Raw genomic sequence first — 19,795 nt, 5'->3', positions numbered from 1 at the left:
ATTTTCTTAGGTTCATACTTCTCACCAATTTTATAATCAAAGCCTAGCAGCGTAGGGAGGGAGTGGGGCATAAACTTCCTCTCCTCACCTTAATTCTATTCTCCTACCTCTTCCCTTCCTTAGCAACACAGACTCAGATCTACCCAGAACATTCCTGTTAAAAAAAATTTTTTTTTTTTTGCTTAGGACAGACTCTTTTACCTTCAGCTACATAATTATGGCATAATCATCTCACCATTCCTATAATACCTTATAACTTTATTCAAAAATCCTCTAATCCTTTACCTTCTAGACCAGCATTAATAGAAATGCCTCAAGAAATGGTAATGTTCATATGTGAGCTGTCCCCAGTATGGCAACCACCAGCCAAATATGGCAACTGAGTATATGAAATGTGGCCGCTGTGATCAAAACTTTAAATTTTATTTACTTAATTTTATTATTTATTTATTATTATTATTTTTTGAGACAGAGTCTTGCACTGTCACCCAAGCTGGAGTGCAGTGGCGCAATCTCAGCTCACTGCAACCTCCGCCTCCTGTGTTCACGCCATTCTCCTGCCTCAGCCTCCCAAGTAGCTGGGACAACAGGCGCCCGCCACCACGCCTGGCTAATTTTTTGTATTTTTAGTAGAGACGGGATTTCACCGTGCTGGCCAGGATGGTCTCAATCTCCTGACCTCGCAATCCGCCCGCCTTGGCCTCCCAAAGTGCTGGGATTATAGGCATGAGCCACCGTGCCCAGCCATTTTATTTTTTGAGATGGAGTCTGGCTCTGTCGCCAGGTTGGAGTGCAGTGGCGCTATCTCAGCTCACTGCAATCTCCGCCTCCCGAGTTTAAGCAATTCTCCTGCCTCAACCTCCCCAGGAGGTGGGATTACAGGCATGTGCCACAATGCCGAGCTAATTTTTGTATTTTTAGTAGAGACAGGGTTTCACCATGTTGGCCAGGATGGTCTCCATCTCCTGATCTCATGATCCACCTGCCTCAGCCTCCCAAAGTGCTGGGATAACAGGCGTGAGTCACTGCGCCCAACCTACTTTATTTACTTTAAATTAATTTAAGTAGCTACACGTGACTAGTGCCTACATACTAACAGTGCAGTTCTAGCCCCGATATGTAAGTCTTACATTTTAGGAAGGCTGGGTTCTATTTATGAAAACAAACCACTTTCCTTTTTATACACTATCTGAACATGTATATAAGACTTATATTGTAGACACCTAATTCTTTCCAACTTTCTCCTTAATTCTGACAGCAAAATCATTTTAAGGTACCAGGCACCAATCATTTTAAGGATCATGAGGAATACCCACATTCTTATTTAAAAAAAAAAAAAAAAAAAAAAAAGCAGCCAGGTGCAGTGGCTCATACCTGTAATCCCAGCACTTTGGGAGGCTGAGATAGAGGGGGGATCCCTCAAACCCAGGAGTTCAAGACCAGCCTGGGCAACATAAAGCCCCATCTCCACAACAAAAATACAAAAAGAGGCTGGGCGTGGTGGCTCATGCATATAATCCCAGTACTTTGGGAGGCCGAGGCGGGTGGATCACCTGAGGTCAGGAATTCGAGACTAGTCTGGCCAACATGGTGAAACTCCATCTCTACTAAAAATACAAAGATTAGCCGGGCGTAGTGCATGCACCTATAGTCCCAGCTACTCAGGAAGCTGAGGCACGAGAATCCCTTGAACTTGAGAGGCAGAGGTTGCAGTAAGCAGAGATCGCGCCATTGCACTCCAGCCTGGGTGACAGAGCAAGACTCCATTCCATCTAAAAAAAAAAAAAACAAAAAAAAAAAACCACACACACAACAACAACAACAAAAAACACAAAAAGAAAATTCGCTGGGCATGATGGCTTGCACCTGTAGTCCCAGCTACTTGGGAGGATCATTTGAGCCCATGAGGCAAAGGCTGCAGTGAGCTATGATTGAACCACTGTACTCCATCCACCCTAGGCGACAGAGTGAGACTCTGCCTCAAAAAAAAAAAAAAAAAAGAAAAAAGAAAAAACTACAATTTGATTTTGCTTTCCCTTGAAGATTTTGCTCTCCCTTGTTAAGACCCATAAATCACTTAAAAATTCAGAAACTTTATACATTAAAAGTCTGTCTTTGGTTTTACAATAATATTAAACTCAATCACTGTTTTAATGTAACAATTTCTGTGAAATGCAGAATAAAAATGATCTTAAACTAAATCTGTAGGTTTTAAAATCAAGAAACTGCAAATTTCTAGCCATTCATTCAGTTAGGTAAGGCTGGCTGACAACACAATATGCAATGTTGTAATCTTCCATCTTTCAGAGGGTTAAAATGACCCCACAACCACAGATTATTAACAGTATTTTTCTTCAAAATATTTCATACACGTCTCCTCACCTGGCTTCACGAAAGCTGCATTTAGGTACTTCCTCTTCACCAACTGCTTGATTTAATAGGTGCCTATAAAATCCACTGAGATCTTTCTGCTTGGTTACATCCAAACATGCTAACAGAGGGAAAGCAAAAATTAGAATATATTCAATAAGGCACAGTGCAGTTTCATTTTACAGACATACAGTATATAACATACAGTGTGTAAACTACTCGCTGGATCAGGAGTTGGCAAACTGCAGGCCAAATCTGGCCTGTTGCCTGTTTTCATAAATAAATTTTTATTGAAACAAAGCCCTGTTCATTTATGTATTGTCCACAACTGCTTTTGTACTACAAAGGCAGAGCTCAGTAACTGCGACAGAGATCATATACACAAAAAGCCCTAAAGTATGAATATGATCTGGCATTCAAAATATGAATTTATAAATTTAAAGTCTTAAAATATGAATACTAAAATACTATCTGGTCCTTTACAGAAAGTTTGCCGACTGGCACTCTAAACACATAGTACATGCTTAGACAGAATGTTATAGACTTGGTTTTCTTCTACTTAAAAGCTGAAGAGGATGGGCGCAGTGGCTCACGCCTGTAATCCTACAACTTTGGGAGGCTGAGGTGGGTGGATCACCTGAGCTCAGGAGTTCGAGACCAACCTGGCCAACATGGTAAAACTCCGTCTCTATAAAAATATAAAAATTATCCAGGTGTGGTGGTGCATGCCTGTAATCCCAGCTACTTGGGAGCCTGAGGCATAAGAATCACTTGAACTTGGGAGGCAGAGGTTGCAGTGAGCCAAGATCATACGACTGCACTCCAGCCTGGGCGACACAGCGAGACTCTGTCCAAAAAGCTGATGAGCATTTGTCAATTAAAGTATTTACAGGGCTGGTCATGGTGGCTCACACCTGTAATGCCAACACTTTGGGAGGCTGAGGCAGGAAGATTGCTTGAGCCCAGGAGTTCGAGACCAGCCCCGGCAACATAGTGAGACCCCGTCTCTACAAAAAATACAAAAAGTAACCAGACGTGGTGGTATGTTCCCGTAGTCCCAGCTACTCAAGAGGCTGAGGTGGGAGGATCACTGGAGCCTGGGAGGTCAGGGCTGCAGTGAGCCATGGTTGAGCCACTGCACTCCAGCCTGGGTGACAGAGACCCAGTCTCAAAAAAAAAAGTATTTTATAAATACATATTCTACTTAGATCTTGAGAAATAATCATGAGTAGAAAGCACTAAGGTAAAGCATTAAGATATTCTTAATTCATCCAATTTTTATTCTTTCTTCAATTAATGTTATTCTTTTTCTAATTGCCTCATTGATCCTCCTTGAGTGGTGTTACTCTATTATTTTCTCATCCCAAAAAAATGTAACTAGGGTTTAAAATTATATTTATATTGTTTCTGACAAATGCCATGGCGTTATACTTTGTAATAAATGTTTTTACATTTCAGATCATGTTCTAAGGCAAAAGCCACAAAATGAGAACTAAGAGAAAAGTCTAGTAGAAATAATAGTTACTGAAGAGTTCAACTGTGTTTTTAGTTAAACTTTCCTTTCTGTTTTATACTGCTATATAATACCATATTCCTTGTGTCTTGAATTCCTATATATAAATTATGATCACAAACTCATAACCCTAAAGTTCAGTGACAGAGCAAACAGCTAACCACAGGGGAGAGATTCTGCTACTGTTTCCTTGTGCCTTTCCCACTCTTTCATTTTACCTTCCAGTGCAGCAGCCCTCTTTTCTCTTTCTTCTTCTTCAGCTCTCTCTTGCAGTTTTTTCTTATATGCAGATGTCACAAATGCTTCTTTATCATCAAACTCCCCCTTTTCCATTTCTCGTTCTCTCTGTATTTTCTTTTCCATTCTTTTTTCCTGTTCCTTTTTTCTGATCTCAACTGCTTTTAGCAAGTTGTGAATATACTTGGGCTAAGGAAATAAAAAAGATTTAGGAAAAGAGTAAAAAAATAGTAATTGTTAATATTATAATTTTTATAATGAATTCATTAAGATAGAAATGATTGGCCCAAATAAGATTGTCTTCCCTACATTCAATATAAACTTACTAGCAAGATTAATATTGAAACTGTTTTCCATAAAAATTTAGGTGTAGCAGAGATAGAAATTGTTTATAATGCGATTTAACTTTAATAAAACATCAAACTAAATATAATTTTTTTCTTTTTTCTGGTATTATCTTAATTAAAAAAAAATCAGAAAAGTTCCTGCTAGTTTTTCACATTTAGTAGAAATATGACTATTTAAAATAGTAGCTTAATATAATTTTATACCATCACTCTACTAGTAGATAACTGTCAGATGCAAATGCCCTTAAAAATCAGCCTGTGCTTGTGAAAGAACAAGAGTTGATAGAAAGAAAATCTGAACTTATTTCAGTTTTTACCCCTCCCAAATTTTTTTCTCACTGAAAATAAAATCATGATAGGTGCAGGCAGATGATTCAGTTACCAGCTAGGAAGAAATGAAAAAATGAGAGGGTAATAAAACACAAATAAACATACACAGGGCAGGAACAGTACAAATTTGGTACATTAGAATTCCAAGGAAAAGTTTTCAAAAAACTATTTGCAAAGGTTTCAAAGCAAAAAGCAAAATTGTTAGATAATTCACCTGGCCTATTAGGATAATATGTAGTGCTGCTTGAGTTCTACAATCAAATTTGTAATATCTGGAATTAGGGACTCTTCACACCTCACATACCTAAAAGCTTTTTCTCAGATCATTCTCATGTTAAAATAAGATTAAGACACAAAATGTAGGTCAAGGTCAAAGAAAGTTTGTTATTTCAGCTTACAAACCTTTCTGTCTTTCCCCAAAAGCAATTTGGGATTATTTTCCTCCTTTTTTTTCTGCATTTCATCATAAATACTGTCATATTCATACACAGTAGCATCTTCTGCAAGGGCCTTCTGGATTTCCAGTTTGGTCTTAAAAAAAAATTAAACATGTTTCAAAAATATGAGCCAGCCAATAGATACAACAAAGTCTATGCTTTTTGAGAATGGTTCATAAATTGAAAATATATCATAAAAATTACAATCACATTTTTAGATAGGAAATACAAATAAACTCTGGAGCCAGGCTGCCTGGGTATGAATGCTGGCTCTACACTTACTAATTACTCCGGGCAAGTTTGTTTGTAATCTTTTGGTACCTTAATTTCCTCATCTAGAAGAGAAAGAATAATGACTATATTTACATTCTAAGCTGTTATAATTAAATGACTAAACTTAAAACAGAGCCTGATAGAGAATAAGTATTCAATAAACATCAACTATTATTATCATTTATTCATTTGTATATAATTATACCCATCAAAAGGTCAAAAGGTACGATGGAAACACCTAACCTTGGTTTTGAGAGGCCTGTATTATATATTAAACTTTCATTATCATTTTTAGAGTTGTTAAACATAAAGTCTCTGCCTTTATCATGTTCCTTCCATCTCAAATGATGTTTTTTTCTCCTCTTTCAAGCGATCAAAATCTTACCCAGTGTTTCAGGGCCAGCCCTACTTCTTCTATGAGCCCATTTCTGAGGCCTCTAACCCCCAATGATCTTTCTTCTAAACTCTGAGGAACATTCTATTCTGCAATATTTACACTAGATTTTTTTTTTTTTTAAAGCGATGGGGTCTCGCTCTGTCGCACTGGCTGGAGTGCCAGTGGTGTGATCTTGGCTCACTGCAACCTCTGCCTCCCAGGCTTCAAGTGATCCTCTCACTTCAGCCACCCAAGTAGCTGGGACTACAGGCGTGTGCCACCATGCCTGGCTAATTTTTATATGTTTTGTAGAGACAGAGTTTCACCATGTTGCTCAGGCTGGTCTTGAACTCCTGGGCTCAAATGATCCACCCACCTCAGCGCCCCCCAAAGTGCTGGAATTACATGCGTGAGCCACCATGCCAGGCATGGGCGTTTTTACTTCCTGTTTTACAAATCTTAGCCTTTTGCCCCCGGTTGTAAATTCCTGAGGTACAGAGTCTACACACTTTGATTTTTTCCTCAATTGCTAGATTGGCTAATGTAGAACCCAAGAGGGATCCTTTTTAAGTGATAGGATGATATAATTATTCAAAAGAATCTATCTGATAGACTAGGGTTTTTACATACCAACATTTAAACTCTGAATAATGCACATGCTAACTGAAAAACTTTTTTTCTAGAATATTGTTTAAAATATTAAGAAATTCATTTTTTTCACTTCTCAACCTTTAGAAAGTGAAAGATTCTCCTGCCTAGATGTTGAATTGGCACTCCTGCTCACTCCCCAAAACCAGCCTGGATAACACAAAGAGGGAAACATGGAATCTAAGAAATAATCACCACTACAATAACAAAAAGCAAGGAAAAAGGGAGACTGAGGGCTGTTTTTTTTTTGGGGGGGGGGGGACGAAGTCTTGCACTGTTGTCCTGGCTGGTGTGCAGTGGTAGGATCTTGGCTCGCTGCAACCTCCGCCTCCTGGGTTCAAGCGATTCCCCTGCCTCAGCCTCCTGAGTAGCTAGGATTACAGGCACCTGCTACCATGCCTGGCTAATTTTTTGTATTTTTAGTAGAGACGGAGTTTCACTATGTTGGTCAAGCTGTTCTCGAACTCCTGACCTCGTGATCTACCCACCTTGGCCTTCCAAAGTACAGGGATTACATGCATGAGCCACTGCACCCGGCCAGGGCTGTTTTAAACTGATGACATGCCTTTGTATATGTTGGGAGGAGAGCTGTAGGGGAGCACTTGAGTAGATATGTTACTATTAACTATGTTGCAACATAAATAAAGCAAAAATTGAACAGATATTCAAGGAAAAATAGACAAATCCATAATCACAGTGGGAGATTTAACATATGCCTCTCAGTAACAGAACAGACAAAACAAAACAAAACAAAACAAAACAACAACAACAACAAAAAAAAACAGTATGAATATATATGGATTAACACAACTGGCCCAATGGACACATAGAGAACATTTTCTTTTTTCTTTTTTTTTGGGGGGGGGGTTCGGAGTCTTGCTCTGTTGCCTAGCCTGGAGTGCAGTGGCACCATCTTGGCTCACTGCAACCTCCACCTCCTGTGTTCAAGTGACTCTCCTGCCTCAGCCTCCTGAGTAGCTGGGACTACAGGTGCACACCACCATGCCCGGCTAATTTTTGTATCAATACAGAACATTTTCAAACACAGAGGAAATATTTATAAAAACTGACTATATACTGGACCATAAAGTAAACCTCTACAGGTTTTAAAGGAATGAAACAATACAGTGCAGTGTCTTGGAATCCAAAATAATCATGTTAGGGACTGGGTGTGGCAACTCATGCCTGTAATCCCAACACTTTGGGGGGCGAAGACGGGCGGATCTCCTGAGGTGAAGAGAGCGCCTGGCCATCTAAAAATATAAAAATTAGCCAGGTGTGGTGATGCACACCTGAAATCCCAGCTATCAGGAGGCTAAGGCAGAAAAATCGCTTGAATCCAGGAGGTGGAGGTTGCAGTGAGCTGAGATCGTGCCGCTGCACTCCAGCCTAGGTACAGAGCAAGACTCCATCTCAAAAACAAAAACAAAAACAAAACAAAACAAAACAAAACAAAAAACCCCAAAAAACAAACAAGCAAAAAACCAAAGTAATCACATTAGGAATGAATAACAAAAAGGTAATCAAAAACCTCCGTTATGTTCAGAAATTAATAATAGATGGGTCAAACAAGAAATCATAATGCAAATCAGAAAATGTTTTGCATGAAACAACAAAAATACTGCCTATCAAAATCTGTAAGATACAGCTACAGAAGTACTTAGAGGGAAACATATAGCCTTAAATGCATATATTAGAAAAGAGAACAGAAAACAGAGCTATGCAGCAATCTCAAAAAGTTAGAAAAATAACAAAATAAACCCAAAGAAAACAGAATGAAGAACACACTGATCTGTCAGGACAGAAAATGAAGTAGAAACAAACAAAATGTATATAGTATCATATTAGCTCATTGTATAAGGCTCGCCAAACCTTGGTATTATCAGACTTTTTCAATCTAGATAATTGCAGCGAAAGAAAAGGAAACCATCCTATTCTGCCCAGTCTCACTTATGATGCAAAAATCTTCAATACTTAAAAACTCTTAATGAAGCTTTAGTAAGCCAAATGCAACAATATATGAAAATGATAACATTTTATGCTTATGTTAAGTTTATACCACTTATGTGAAGTTACAATGATTGATTTTCTAAAGTTAAGCTGACTTTACATTATTGGTATAAAACCAACATGGTCATGAAGCAGTATCCTTTTTGTATGTAGTTCACCATTTAAACAAATAAACAAACAACAAAACCCTCCAACTAAGAAAATAATTTCCTTAGATTAGCAACAAATATCTATCAGAGACCTACAGCAAATGTTTTATTTACTGATGACATACTGAAAGTTTTCCCAATGAAACGGAATATGACAATAATGTTGCCATCATCAGTTCTGTAAACTTGAGGTCCACATAGAAGAAAAAAATAGTTTAAAGTACCCCATTTTAAAAAGCATTTTCTCTAAGATTTAGTAAATGCAATCAAGCTAGTATTCTTCATAGTAAAATGAAAAATAATTTCAATTCGTATGGATAAAGACATTCGATGAGCTGAATCAATCAAGTGGGGAACAAAGGGAAAAGTATGTAATATAGGTGCGAGAAAAAATCAGCAGAAAGCAGGTGAAAGGTGTAAGAGTTGTAGCAGCATTCCTAATTTCCAAGCAAACTACAAAAAGTCCCACTAAACAGATAAAGTGGCTTGAACAAGACAGAGTTAAGAATAAAATCAGATTTGGGATTCATGCTTTAAGTGAAGAAAAAAAGGCAGCACAAAAATGTTAAAATAATCCTGGAAAACAAGATACCTGTATTACCTTGGATAAGTTACCCAACTCTCCAGAACTAAGTCTCCCATTTATATAGTGAGGAAGTTGAACTTAATGGTATCTCCAAAATTCTGACTCAAAGCACTCCAGTATTTATGTTAAATAATCACTGTTTTTTATGTTTTATGTGTATATTAAATCATTCTGAGGCTGCTGAGTTACACATTATATTTCACTGTGAAACTCTGACATTATCTTAAAATGACTAAATATATCCTTCTGTGCCAATTCGTCCGGGAGGGTGTGAAACACAGTGGTTAAAAGCCTAGGTTCTGAGGTTTCACTGTCTAGTTTTGAACACAGCCCTACCATTTATTAACTATGTGGTCTCATGCAAGTCACATAAATTCTTCTTGCCTTCATTTCCTTAACTATAAAATAAGGATTATAAAAGCATCTATCTCATAGAATTATTGTAAGAATTAAAGATCATTCTTAAAACATAGTTGTCATGATGCCTGGCACATAGAAAGTGCTTAATAAACTTATCTTTATGCAGGTTTCCAGTTAGACAAAGAGGAAATAGGACCAAAAATTATAAAGCTAATGGAGAGGATAAATAATTCAAAATGAAAAACAAAGGCACCTCGCTATTGTTTAATTTCATTACATTCTATAGCAGAAAATCTAAGATATACTAGTCTACAATAGCAGAAAAATTAGTAAACCTTCAGGCCTAGTTCGATAATTAATAGTATGATCTTAAGGAGCACTTTATCCTTTTTGAGTTTCAGATTTCTTAATCAGTACTATGGGCAAGTTTGTGAGAACTGTAAAAGATAAATGTATGTAAAAAGCACTTGGAAACAAGCACGTCTTTTAAAAATTATCAGGCCGCGCACGGTGGCTCACGCCTGTAATCCCAGCACTTCAGGAGGCTGAGGTTGGCGGATCACCTGAGGTCACGGGTTCCAGACCAGCCTGACCAACACGGTGAAACCCCGTCTCTACTAAAAATATAAAAATTAGCTGGGCATGGTGGCATGCGCCTTTAGTCCCAGCTACTCGGGAGGCTGAAGCAGGAGAATTGCCTGAACCCAGGAGATGGAGACTGCAGTGAGCCGAGAGTGCACCACGGCACTCCAGCCTGGGCAACAGAGCAAGACTCAATCTCAAAAAAAAAAAAAATCTATATATCTATATATCTATATATTTGTATCTATCTCTGATATTCTTCTTTCTGGGCAGATGAGTTTCAAATAATTATAAGTTTGTGAAACCATTTTGGTTGTGAAAAGGTTTTTTTTTTCCCTGCAAGTAAGCTCACTAGCAAGAATTTAATAATAACAACAGGCCAAACAATCCATTATTAGACTAATGAGTCATCTACAAGCAGAACTGGTTTAATCTATAGCACAGCAATAAGGAGCTAATTCTTCATTGTGTTTTTCCTTAAATCTATTCTGTTTTAGTCTCAGCACCTAGATACCAAAACTGATGCTTAAAAATGAGCCGGAATGCTTCACTGAATGCACTTATCCCAGTCTTCTACCTTACCTGTTTCATGGCCTGCTTCTTAGCAGCTTCCCTCTGAAGGCTTTCACTCACAGAGGTCTGTAAAACAGAAATATATTGTCACTTTTTAAACAAATTTAAAATTTCTTTTCCAGTACGAGCGTCCCCTATCTAAAATACATGGGACCAGAAGTGTTTTGTATTTCAGATTTTTAAAATACTTACTGGTTCAGCACCCCAAATCTGAAGATCTGATATCTGATGCTCCAATGAGCATTTCATTTGAGCTTCACATTAGTGCTCAAAAAAGTTTTAGATTTTAGAACATTTAGGATTTTTGATTTTCAGATTTGGGATGCTCAACCTGTTTTCTGGTTGGCAATGGTGCCTTACTTATAGTTAAAAGTAAAAAGATAATAATACAAATTAAACTAACATTTTCAGGGTTTTTTCCCTAAACTTCAGGAAATAAATGAATTTGCATTGTAAATCCTCAGAATAGATTATAAGGTATCAGAGAAAATAGAATGGTACAGGAAAAGATGAGTAAACATGAATTTTTAGTCCTAAATTCACTACTGTCATTCAACCTTTACAGATTTCAATTTGCTTCATGTGAACATGTGAGAGAGAGAGAGAGAGAGAGAGAGAGAGAGAGAGAGAGGGAGTGTGTGTGTGTGTGTGTGTGTGTGTGTGTGTGTGTGTGAGAAATGGGGAAAGACTGGTCTAGATAATATTTCAGGTACCTTCCAACACTAAAATGGTATGATTCCCAGCTTACAAAAAGCAAACTATTTTAATATTCACCACTCAATATAGTGTATCAAGCTCTCGGTTTATGTTTAAGGCTTAGGGACAGCAGCAACTATTCGTGGCAATAATCAAAAACTATGTACCAAAAAGCATGTTTAGGTCCTGAGGATAGTGAAAAAGCAAGAACAGTCTCAGTCTTAGGCCAGAGACTGAAACAAAATCTTGTTTTTCAGATAAACAGTCTGAAAGGGAAGACAATTAAAGAAATAATCACAATATATGGCCAGGCGCGGTGGCTCATGCCTGTAATCCCAGCACTTTGGGAGGCTGAGGCAGGCAGATCACTTGAGGCCAGGAGTTTTGAGACCAGCCTGGCCAACATGGTGAAACCCCGTCTCTACTGAAAATACAAAGATGAGCCGGGAGTGTTGGAGCACAGCTGTAATCCCAGCTACTTGAAAGGCTGAGACATGAGAATCACTTGCACCTGGGAGGCAGATGTTGCAGTGAGCCAAAATTGTGCCACTGCACTCCAGCCTGGGCAACAGAACCAGGCTCTGTCTCAAAAAAAAAAAAAAAAAAAAGACAATTACAATATAAATGTGATAAGCAATATAATAAAGGAATAAACAAAGCACTGTGGGAGCCCAGGGCAGAGAAGGCAACTAAATGTATATGAGGAATCAAGAATCCCTTTCCAAAAGAGATATGACATTAGACCAGAATCAAAGAGAATAAAAATGTAAAAGAATGCAAGAGGAAGATAGGAAGTAGTCATCACATGGGCAAAACTAAAGATTACATACAGCTAAGAAAAAAAAATACTTAAGAAAAATATGTTTCCTTAATAGTACAGGCTTTAATCATCAGGGAAATGTAAATCAGAACCACTAAGAGATAACACCTCACACCTGTTAGAATGGCTATTCTAAAAAAGTCAAAAAATAATAAAGGTTAGCATGGGTGCCAGAAAAGGGAATTCTTATATACTGCTGGTGCAGATGTAGGCTGGTACAGTCAATATGGAAAACAGTATGGAGGTTTATAAACAAATTAAAAATAGAACTACCATACAGCCTAGCAATCCCTCTTGGCATATAGCCAAAGGAAATGAAATCACCACCTGGTAAAGGTAGCTTCACTCCCATGTTCATTGCAGCATTATTTGCAATAGCCAGGTATGGAAACAATCTACCTGTTCATTGACAAATGAATGGATAAAGAAACTGTGGTAAATATGTATGATGGAGTATTATTCAGCCTTTAAAAAGGAGATCTTGCCATTTGCCACAATATGAATGGGCCTGGAGGACATTATGCTACATGGTAAGCCAGACACAAAAAGAAAAATAGTACCTGACATCATTTGTAAGTGGAATCTCTCACAGAGATAAAGAACTTAAAAACAATGGTTACTAGGGGTGGGGTGAGAGGAAATGGGAAGAGGTAGGTATGTAACAAGATGAACAAGTCTAGAGATCTAATGTACCACATGAGGACAATAGGTAATAAAATTGTACTATATATGGTATTCATGCTAAATGAGTAAATTGTAGCTGCTCTTGCCACAGAAACAAAAAAAGTATGTAAGATAATGGACATGTTAATTTGCTTTACTGTAGTAAACTTTTTACCATCTATATCCCATAATTGTTATATACCTTAATATGCACAATTAATTTTTTTCAAGTATCAGGATTTGCAAATATACTGACACTGAATTGTATAAAAGCATGAATTTTATGCTATGTGAATTACATCTTTTTAAAAAAGCCAAAATAAAGCTACTGATGCATTTTTAATTCTTTCATTTGTGGGGGCAAGGGCTACATGGGTTATCTCTGTCCCTCTCAATTTTGCTGTCAGTCTAAAACTGCTGTTTAAAAAAAAACGAAGTCTTAAATATACATAAAAACATATGTGTAAGTTTTAAATATATATATGTACACAAAATCCTCAGCTCTAGAATTATAGTAGTCCAGCCTATTAACACTTGCTATCTTCAGTTGTATTGTACCAGCAATTGGTGCTTTTTTTTTTTCATGGTAATAACCAGAACAAAATAGTTCTCTATGACCACAGACAAATCAATTTAATACACAAAGGTCATATAATACATATTTAAAAAATTAAATAAGTATGCAAAGAACTAAAGACATTTTAGGTGATGGTAAACTGACTAACTGGGGGAAAGATGTTGATAACAAAAACAGTAATAGCTGCTAACATTTATTGAGCTAGGTGCTATGCTAAGTATACTAGTTGTGTATTACATGTATTACTGATTTAATCCAAATTTCTGTTACATGTAATATGAAACTTTCATTCACTAGAATATCAATTTTAAATACCAAAACTGAAAGTAATAGTTAATATTTCCAATGTATTTTCATGTCTGTATTTCTGATTAGTATGAATGAAAAATATTTTTCTTGACCACTGAGTTAATGATGTCTTCAGGACTGACTGAGAAGATTACATCTCCAAATGCTGGATGTTTTCCTCTTTTACTTGCTTTTATTTTTTCCTATCTCCTCCTTCAGTCTGTCACCTTTAATCTGTCAGAGTTTACCTGCTGCCTTTCAAACTGGATGCTTCAATCTAAACTATGTAACTTGGTTGTTATGGAAGATTCTCAGAGAAATAAAATAACTTTTAAAAAGAAAACTTGGGAAAGAAAAACACAAGGCTATACCTTTCCAGACTTTTATAAAATATAGAATAAGCAGACTGAGAAAGGCCTTTCCAATGTAGACTATATCTATTTTGAGACACCTCAAAAGATTTTGTTTCTATGTTCATAGCTGTTTAGAAGAATGAAGTATGACCGTTGAAAAAACAAGCTGTTACTACTTACACAGGAAGGTAACATAATGGAAGGAGTGCAATAGTTTTACATATTCTATTCACAAACTTATATCCCTAGAATTCAACAGCATCAGTGGATAACTCTGAACCTAACCTGAAAAAGTCAGGAAAAACTGATGATCTTTTGAAGGTCATTTGATTCTCAATTTTCTAAATAAAGGTACTTTAACAATTACCACTAAGGATGACGATTAAATGCCAAAAACCTGTTTAAACAAATACAAAAAGCTTAAAAGAGTAGCAGTAAAACTTTTACTTTTTTCTGTAATAGTAACCCTATATAAAAATATATAAAATGATCTTCTATATAACATAAAAAACTCATCTAGATTCAGATCAGACTGAAAAATAACTACTACAATTAAAAACAATTTCCTCATAAAAGAGCAGATACTTATTTTATTTTATTTATTATTATTATTATTACTATTATTATTATTATTATACTTTAAGTTTTAGGGTACATGTGCACAACGTGATTGTTTTCAGATAACCATAATAATTATACTATGTAATTTTAAGATTGAGAACAAAAATTGGCACATGTATTGTGGCCTATTCTGTGTGTCTTTTTTGAATCTATAATTCTGCTAAGAACTGTGCAGAATATAAAAGGATGTTGCTTGTGTTTAATTTTTATGATTCTTTAAATATATTTTAAATGGAAATCCAGAAAGGAAATATATTAATCTAAAAATAGTAACAACAACAGTAGTTACAATAATCCTAACAACTTCAGAAATAATGGATAAGTAAGCTAAATGACATATAGAAGTCACCTTTAATTGTTAAGGCTACAGATTACCTGAGAGAATTTAAGGACAAACAGCTGGTGAATGGCAAAGCAAGATTCCAATTCAGGTACTCTTATTCCAAACTTTAATAACTTTCCTTTAAACACCAGTACTGGATATACACTGAAATGTCTCAAGACAACACAGAATTAAAAGGCATGGAAAGGTACAAATAGCCTATAGCATAAATCTGATTTAAACTTTATAATATTGAACGGTGTCCTATGTTGCTATTATTGGAAATTCACCAACTGAGATGATTCCTCTGAAAACGTAAAGCTGAGGTATGATTCCATCTACTAGAGTAACATAAGTATTATTATAACTGTACATGTACTGTTGACCATTAGAGTGGAAAGTCACATAAAATGAAAACACAGAATGTTATTAACATTAAAGGAAAAACGAGTCTATTTAGTATTTGATATTTTAAGTACTGTTTCTACATCTACTCCATAGTATCAATGAAAAACAGATTCCTTCAGATACATTGTAGTCATATCATGAATGGGAAAATATTTTTCTTTTTAACAAATATCTTAAATACATATATTTATGTGTGAGAAAAAAAACTACTACAATTAAAAGCAGATCAGTAAGATCTTATTTTTTTTTTTAAGACAGAGTCTCACTCTGTTGCCCAGACTGGAGTGCAGTGGTGCGATCTCGGCTCACTGCAACCTCCGCCTCCCGGGTTCAAGAGATTCTCCTGCCTCAGCCTCCTGAGTAGCTGGGAATACAGGCGCACACCACCATGCCCAGCTAATTTTTGTATTTTTAGTAGAGACAAGGTTTCATCATGTTGGTCAGGCTGGTCTCGAACTCCTGACCTCATGATCCACCTGCCTTGGCCTCCCAAAGTGCTGGGATTACAGATGTGAGCCACCGTGCCCGGCCAGATCTTATGTTTTTAAAGGTCAAGTCTTTTTACGTTTTTAGTGGTATCCTTAAAATACTAATACAGTATACATACACAACAGAATAGTATTTGGCCATAAAAAGAATGAAATCGTATCATTTACAGCAACATGGAAGGAACTGGAGGTCATTACCTTAAGTAAAATAAGCCACACACAAAAAGATAAATATCGTATGTTCTCACTTCCATGTGGGAGCTAAAATAAAAACTTTGATCACATGGAGGTAGAGTGAAAAGGTAGATAACAGACTGGGAAGGGTAAGTGAGGGAAATGGGGAGGATAAAGAGAAGCTGGTTAAAGGGTACAAACATACAGTAAGATAGAAGGAATATATTCAGTGTTTGACAGAAGAGTAAGGTGACTATCCTTTTTGTTTGTTTGAGATGGAGTCTTGCTCTGCTGCCCAGGTTGGAGTGCAGTGGTGTGATTTCAGCTCACTGAAACCTCTGCCTCCCGGGTTCAAGCGATTCTCCTGCCTCAGCCTCCCGAGTAGCTGGGATTACAAGTGTGCGCCACCATGCGTGGCTAATTTTTTTTGTATTTTTAGTAGAGATGGGGTTCTGCCATGATGGCTAGGCTGGTCTCGAACTCCTGGCCTCAAGTGATCTGCCTACCTCGGCCTCCCAAAGTGCTAGGATTATAGGCATGAGCCACTGCACCTGGCCAGGGTGACTACCCTTAACAAAAACGTATTGTACTTGGGTAACAGACACTAATTGCTGACTGACTTGATCACTAAGCATTGCATTCATATAACAAAATCTCACAGGTATCCCATAAACTTGTATAAAATTTTTTCAAATACTAACACAAATTTTAAGAGAACTTTTAATTTAGTCTGGTTTTCATAAAAAGAAAGGATACTCAAGAAGGTAAATATCACAAAAGCAGATCCTCTTGCCATAAATCAGGGAAGGGTTGATCTTATTGAACTCAGCAAGAGAAAAAATAGATTTCATAAGTGCCCTGTGAATAAAACAAAACTTATATAATAACTGCAAAGATTATTAATCTCTAACTTCAGTGTTCCTATACTGTACAGCATGAGGAGAACTTACAAAATAACGTTCACAAGTGTAGACTCAGAAACAGTCTACAACTGTTCTCTCTCTTGCTAGCTTGTTATTCTAGGTATGTTAATTTCTTCCTGTTTCAGTTTCCTCCTCTATATATTAGTACCTACCTCACAAAGGTTAGCTACCATTTTTGTTATTATCATGTTCCTGTTTAAAAATATATGGCTGAAGAAATGCTTATATTTAAACAAATCAAAACTAAGTTATGAGAACACAGTAGCTGTACTTTTTTTTTTCTTGGATTATTCACCAGAAAAGCATGCAAACAATATTCCTCTTTATAGTATATTTATCAGTGTGCTTAATAAAATGTAAGGTTGGTATTTATTTGAAGTGACATTAATATATTTCCATCCACTGAATTAGAAAAATCTATTCTGCTGAATATTTAAAAGGCTGTATATGTTTTCTTTTGTGTTGATTCTTTAAGGTTTTATATTCAGTATGTCCATAAACAGGAAAATGGAGGATGCATACATTTGAATCCTTAATTAGCCATGGGAGCTATAGCGTAACTAGAAATGGGTTTTCTAGAACTGATAGTGGCTTTAGTAGGAACTAATTCATAAACAAAAATACACTGCCCCCAAAACATGAGTAGACTAGGGAGTATTCTCCTTTGAGGGTATCCTCTGCTGTGCTGCTATAATCAAATGGCAAGATACAAGGACACACCAAATGAACAGACGTTTGTCTCTAATAATTGTCCTGGTTTGGGGTGAGAAGGGGAAGTGCTTGTTTTAAAAAGCGTATTTTTAAACTTCAAAGAAATGTACAGTTAAGTACTGTGTACCCTTTACCTAACCTCTCCCAATGTTAGTAAGTTGCATAGAGTACAATATCAACACCAGGGAACTGACACTGGTACACCCACACTGCTTATTCAGATTTCACCATTTTTACACATACACATCTGTGCATGTATGTGCATAGTCCTATGCCATTTTATAACACAGAGCTTCAAGTAACTATCACCGTAATCAAGATACTTAATTGTACTAGTCACCACAATACTTCTTGCACTACTCCTTTATAAGCCATACTCATCCTTCCTCCTCCATCTCTAATCCCTGGCAACCATTATCTCTGTGTTTGATGAATGTTAAATAAATTGAATTATGCAGTATATCGTTTTGAGATTGGCTCTTTTCTACCAGCATTACTTTCAAGGGTATTTTGTATTTTGCTTAGTATAAATATCGCAAAAACATTTCGTTCTTGCCACAAAATATATTAGCTTACAAGTTATCTAGGGAAAAACAGCTGTTTAAAAAAAGATTAAGGCTGAATGTGACCAAACCACACAATAAAGTCATTGACTCATTTCAAAATTAGTAGGTAGACAATTATTTTAATTCTATGCCTGAGGACCAGTTTGCAGTGTAACACAGGAGAATATTCCTTAAAACTGGCTTCTTTTCTCTTTTTTTTTGAGACAGGGTCTTGCTCTGTTGTCCAGGCTGGAGCGCAGTGACATGAAGACAGCACACTGCAGCCTCGACCTCCCGGGCTCAAGCAATCCTCCTGCCTCAGCATCTGGAGTAGCTGGAACTACAGATGTGTGTCACCACATCCAGCTAATTTTTTTATTTTTTTGTAGAGACAGGGTCTTGCTTTGTTGCCCAGGCTGGTCTCAAACCCCTGGGCTCAAGCAATCCTCCCGCCTTTGCCTCCTAAAGTGCTGGGATTATAGGCATAAGCCACCATGCTCAGCCAATGGTGCCTTCTAATAAAATCGTTAGTTTTAAATTTAGGGAGACAAAATTTACTTCCTATAAGGCACTTTATCTCGAAGGAAAAAAAATCAACTTATAAACAAATAGGTTCAAATGCAAACATTAGAACTGTTCTAAAAGTACAAAAAACACACTAATATTTCAAGATAGGTTCTTTATCAAAATCTCAGGAAAATACCTTTTCAAAAACCTGAAGCAGTAGCTCCTTCCAAATGTTTTAACTTAATTCAGTAAACATGCTGACAGCCTAATATGTGTACAGCACTTAGGCTAGGTGCTACAAAAAGATTATAATCTAGTAGGAAAGCAGCCATATTTGGTCAACATTTAAATTTATGTCTTAAGAGTTAGTAGGTTCCAGTTAGCTTTAATTCCAAATAAGAAAGGAACCCACAAAAAAGGGAAGAAAGTGACTGGTCTATTTTACAATCACAAATAACATAAAACAATACTTCGCACACACGCACACACACACATACACATTATAAGGGGTAAAAATGTGGTCATTGGCCGGGTACGGTGGCTCATGCCTGTAATCCCAGCACTTTGGGAGGTCGAGGAGGGCAGATCACCTGAGGTCAAGAGTTCAAGACCAGCCTTGCCAACGTGGTAAAACCTCGCCTCTACTAAAAATACAAAAAAAATTAGTTGGGCATGGTGGCGCGCGCCTGTAGTCCCAGCTACTCGGGGAGGCTGAGGCAAGAGAATTGCTTGCACCCAGGAGGTGGAGGTTGCAGTGAGCTGAGATCGTGCCACTGCACTCTAGCCTGGGTGACAGAGGGAGACTATCTCAAAAAAAAAAAAAAAAAAAAAAGTGGTCAAAGTATAGGCACCATAAACTGCAGAATTAAGAAAAACATTGCAACTAGATTTCTTAGTTTTTTTCTCCC

General features: G+C 36.9%; 1 protein-coding gene across 9 annotated transcripts in view; it reads right to left on the bottom strand.

Annotated features, from left to right (window-relative positions):
• Window positions 1–19,795, bottom strand: part of NSRP1 (nuclear speckle splicing regulatory protein 1) — a 69,660-nt gene that overhangs the window by 3,077 nt on the left and 46,788 nt on the right. For 5 of the 9 annotated variants that reach the window (XM_011525345.3, NM_032141.4, NM_001261467.2 and 2 more), the window contains 4 exons: window positions 10,801–10,857; window positions 5,200–5,328; window positions 4,102–4,309; window positions 2,383–2,491 (listed from right to left, as the gene is read on the bottom strand). In XM_011525345.3, coding sequence (XP_011523647.1) covers window positions 2,383–2,491; window positions 4,102–4,309; window positions 5,200–5,328; window positions 10,801–10,857 — 503 coding nt within the window. Of the gene's footprint in view, window positions 1–2,382; window positions 2,492–4,101; window positions 4,310–5,199; window positions 5,329–10,800; window positions 10,858–14,473; window positions 14,499–15,184; window positions 15,297–19,795 lie in introns of those variants that run through there. The other 4 variants (XM_047436916.1, XM_047436918.1, XM_047436917.1 and 1 more) reach the window with 2 other exon arrangements.

This window comes from Homo sapiens, chromosome 17 (assembly GCF_000001405.40).
Source record: "Homo sapiens chromosome 17, GRCh38.p14 Primary Assembly".
Lineage (NCBI taxonomy): Eukaryota > Metazoa > Chordata > Mammalia > Primates > Hominidae > Homo > Homo sapiens.
This window is presented reverse-complemented; position numbering and strand designations above follow the sequence as displayed.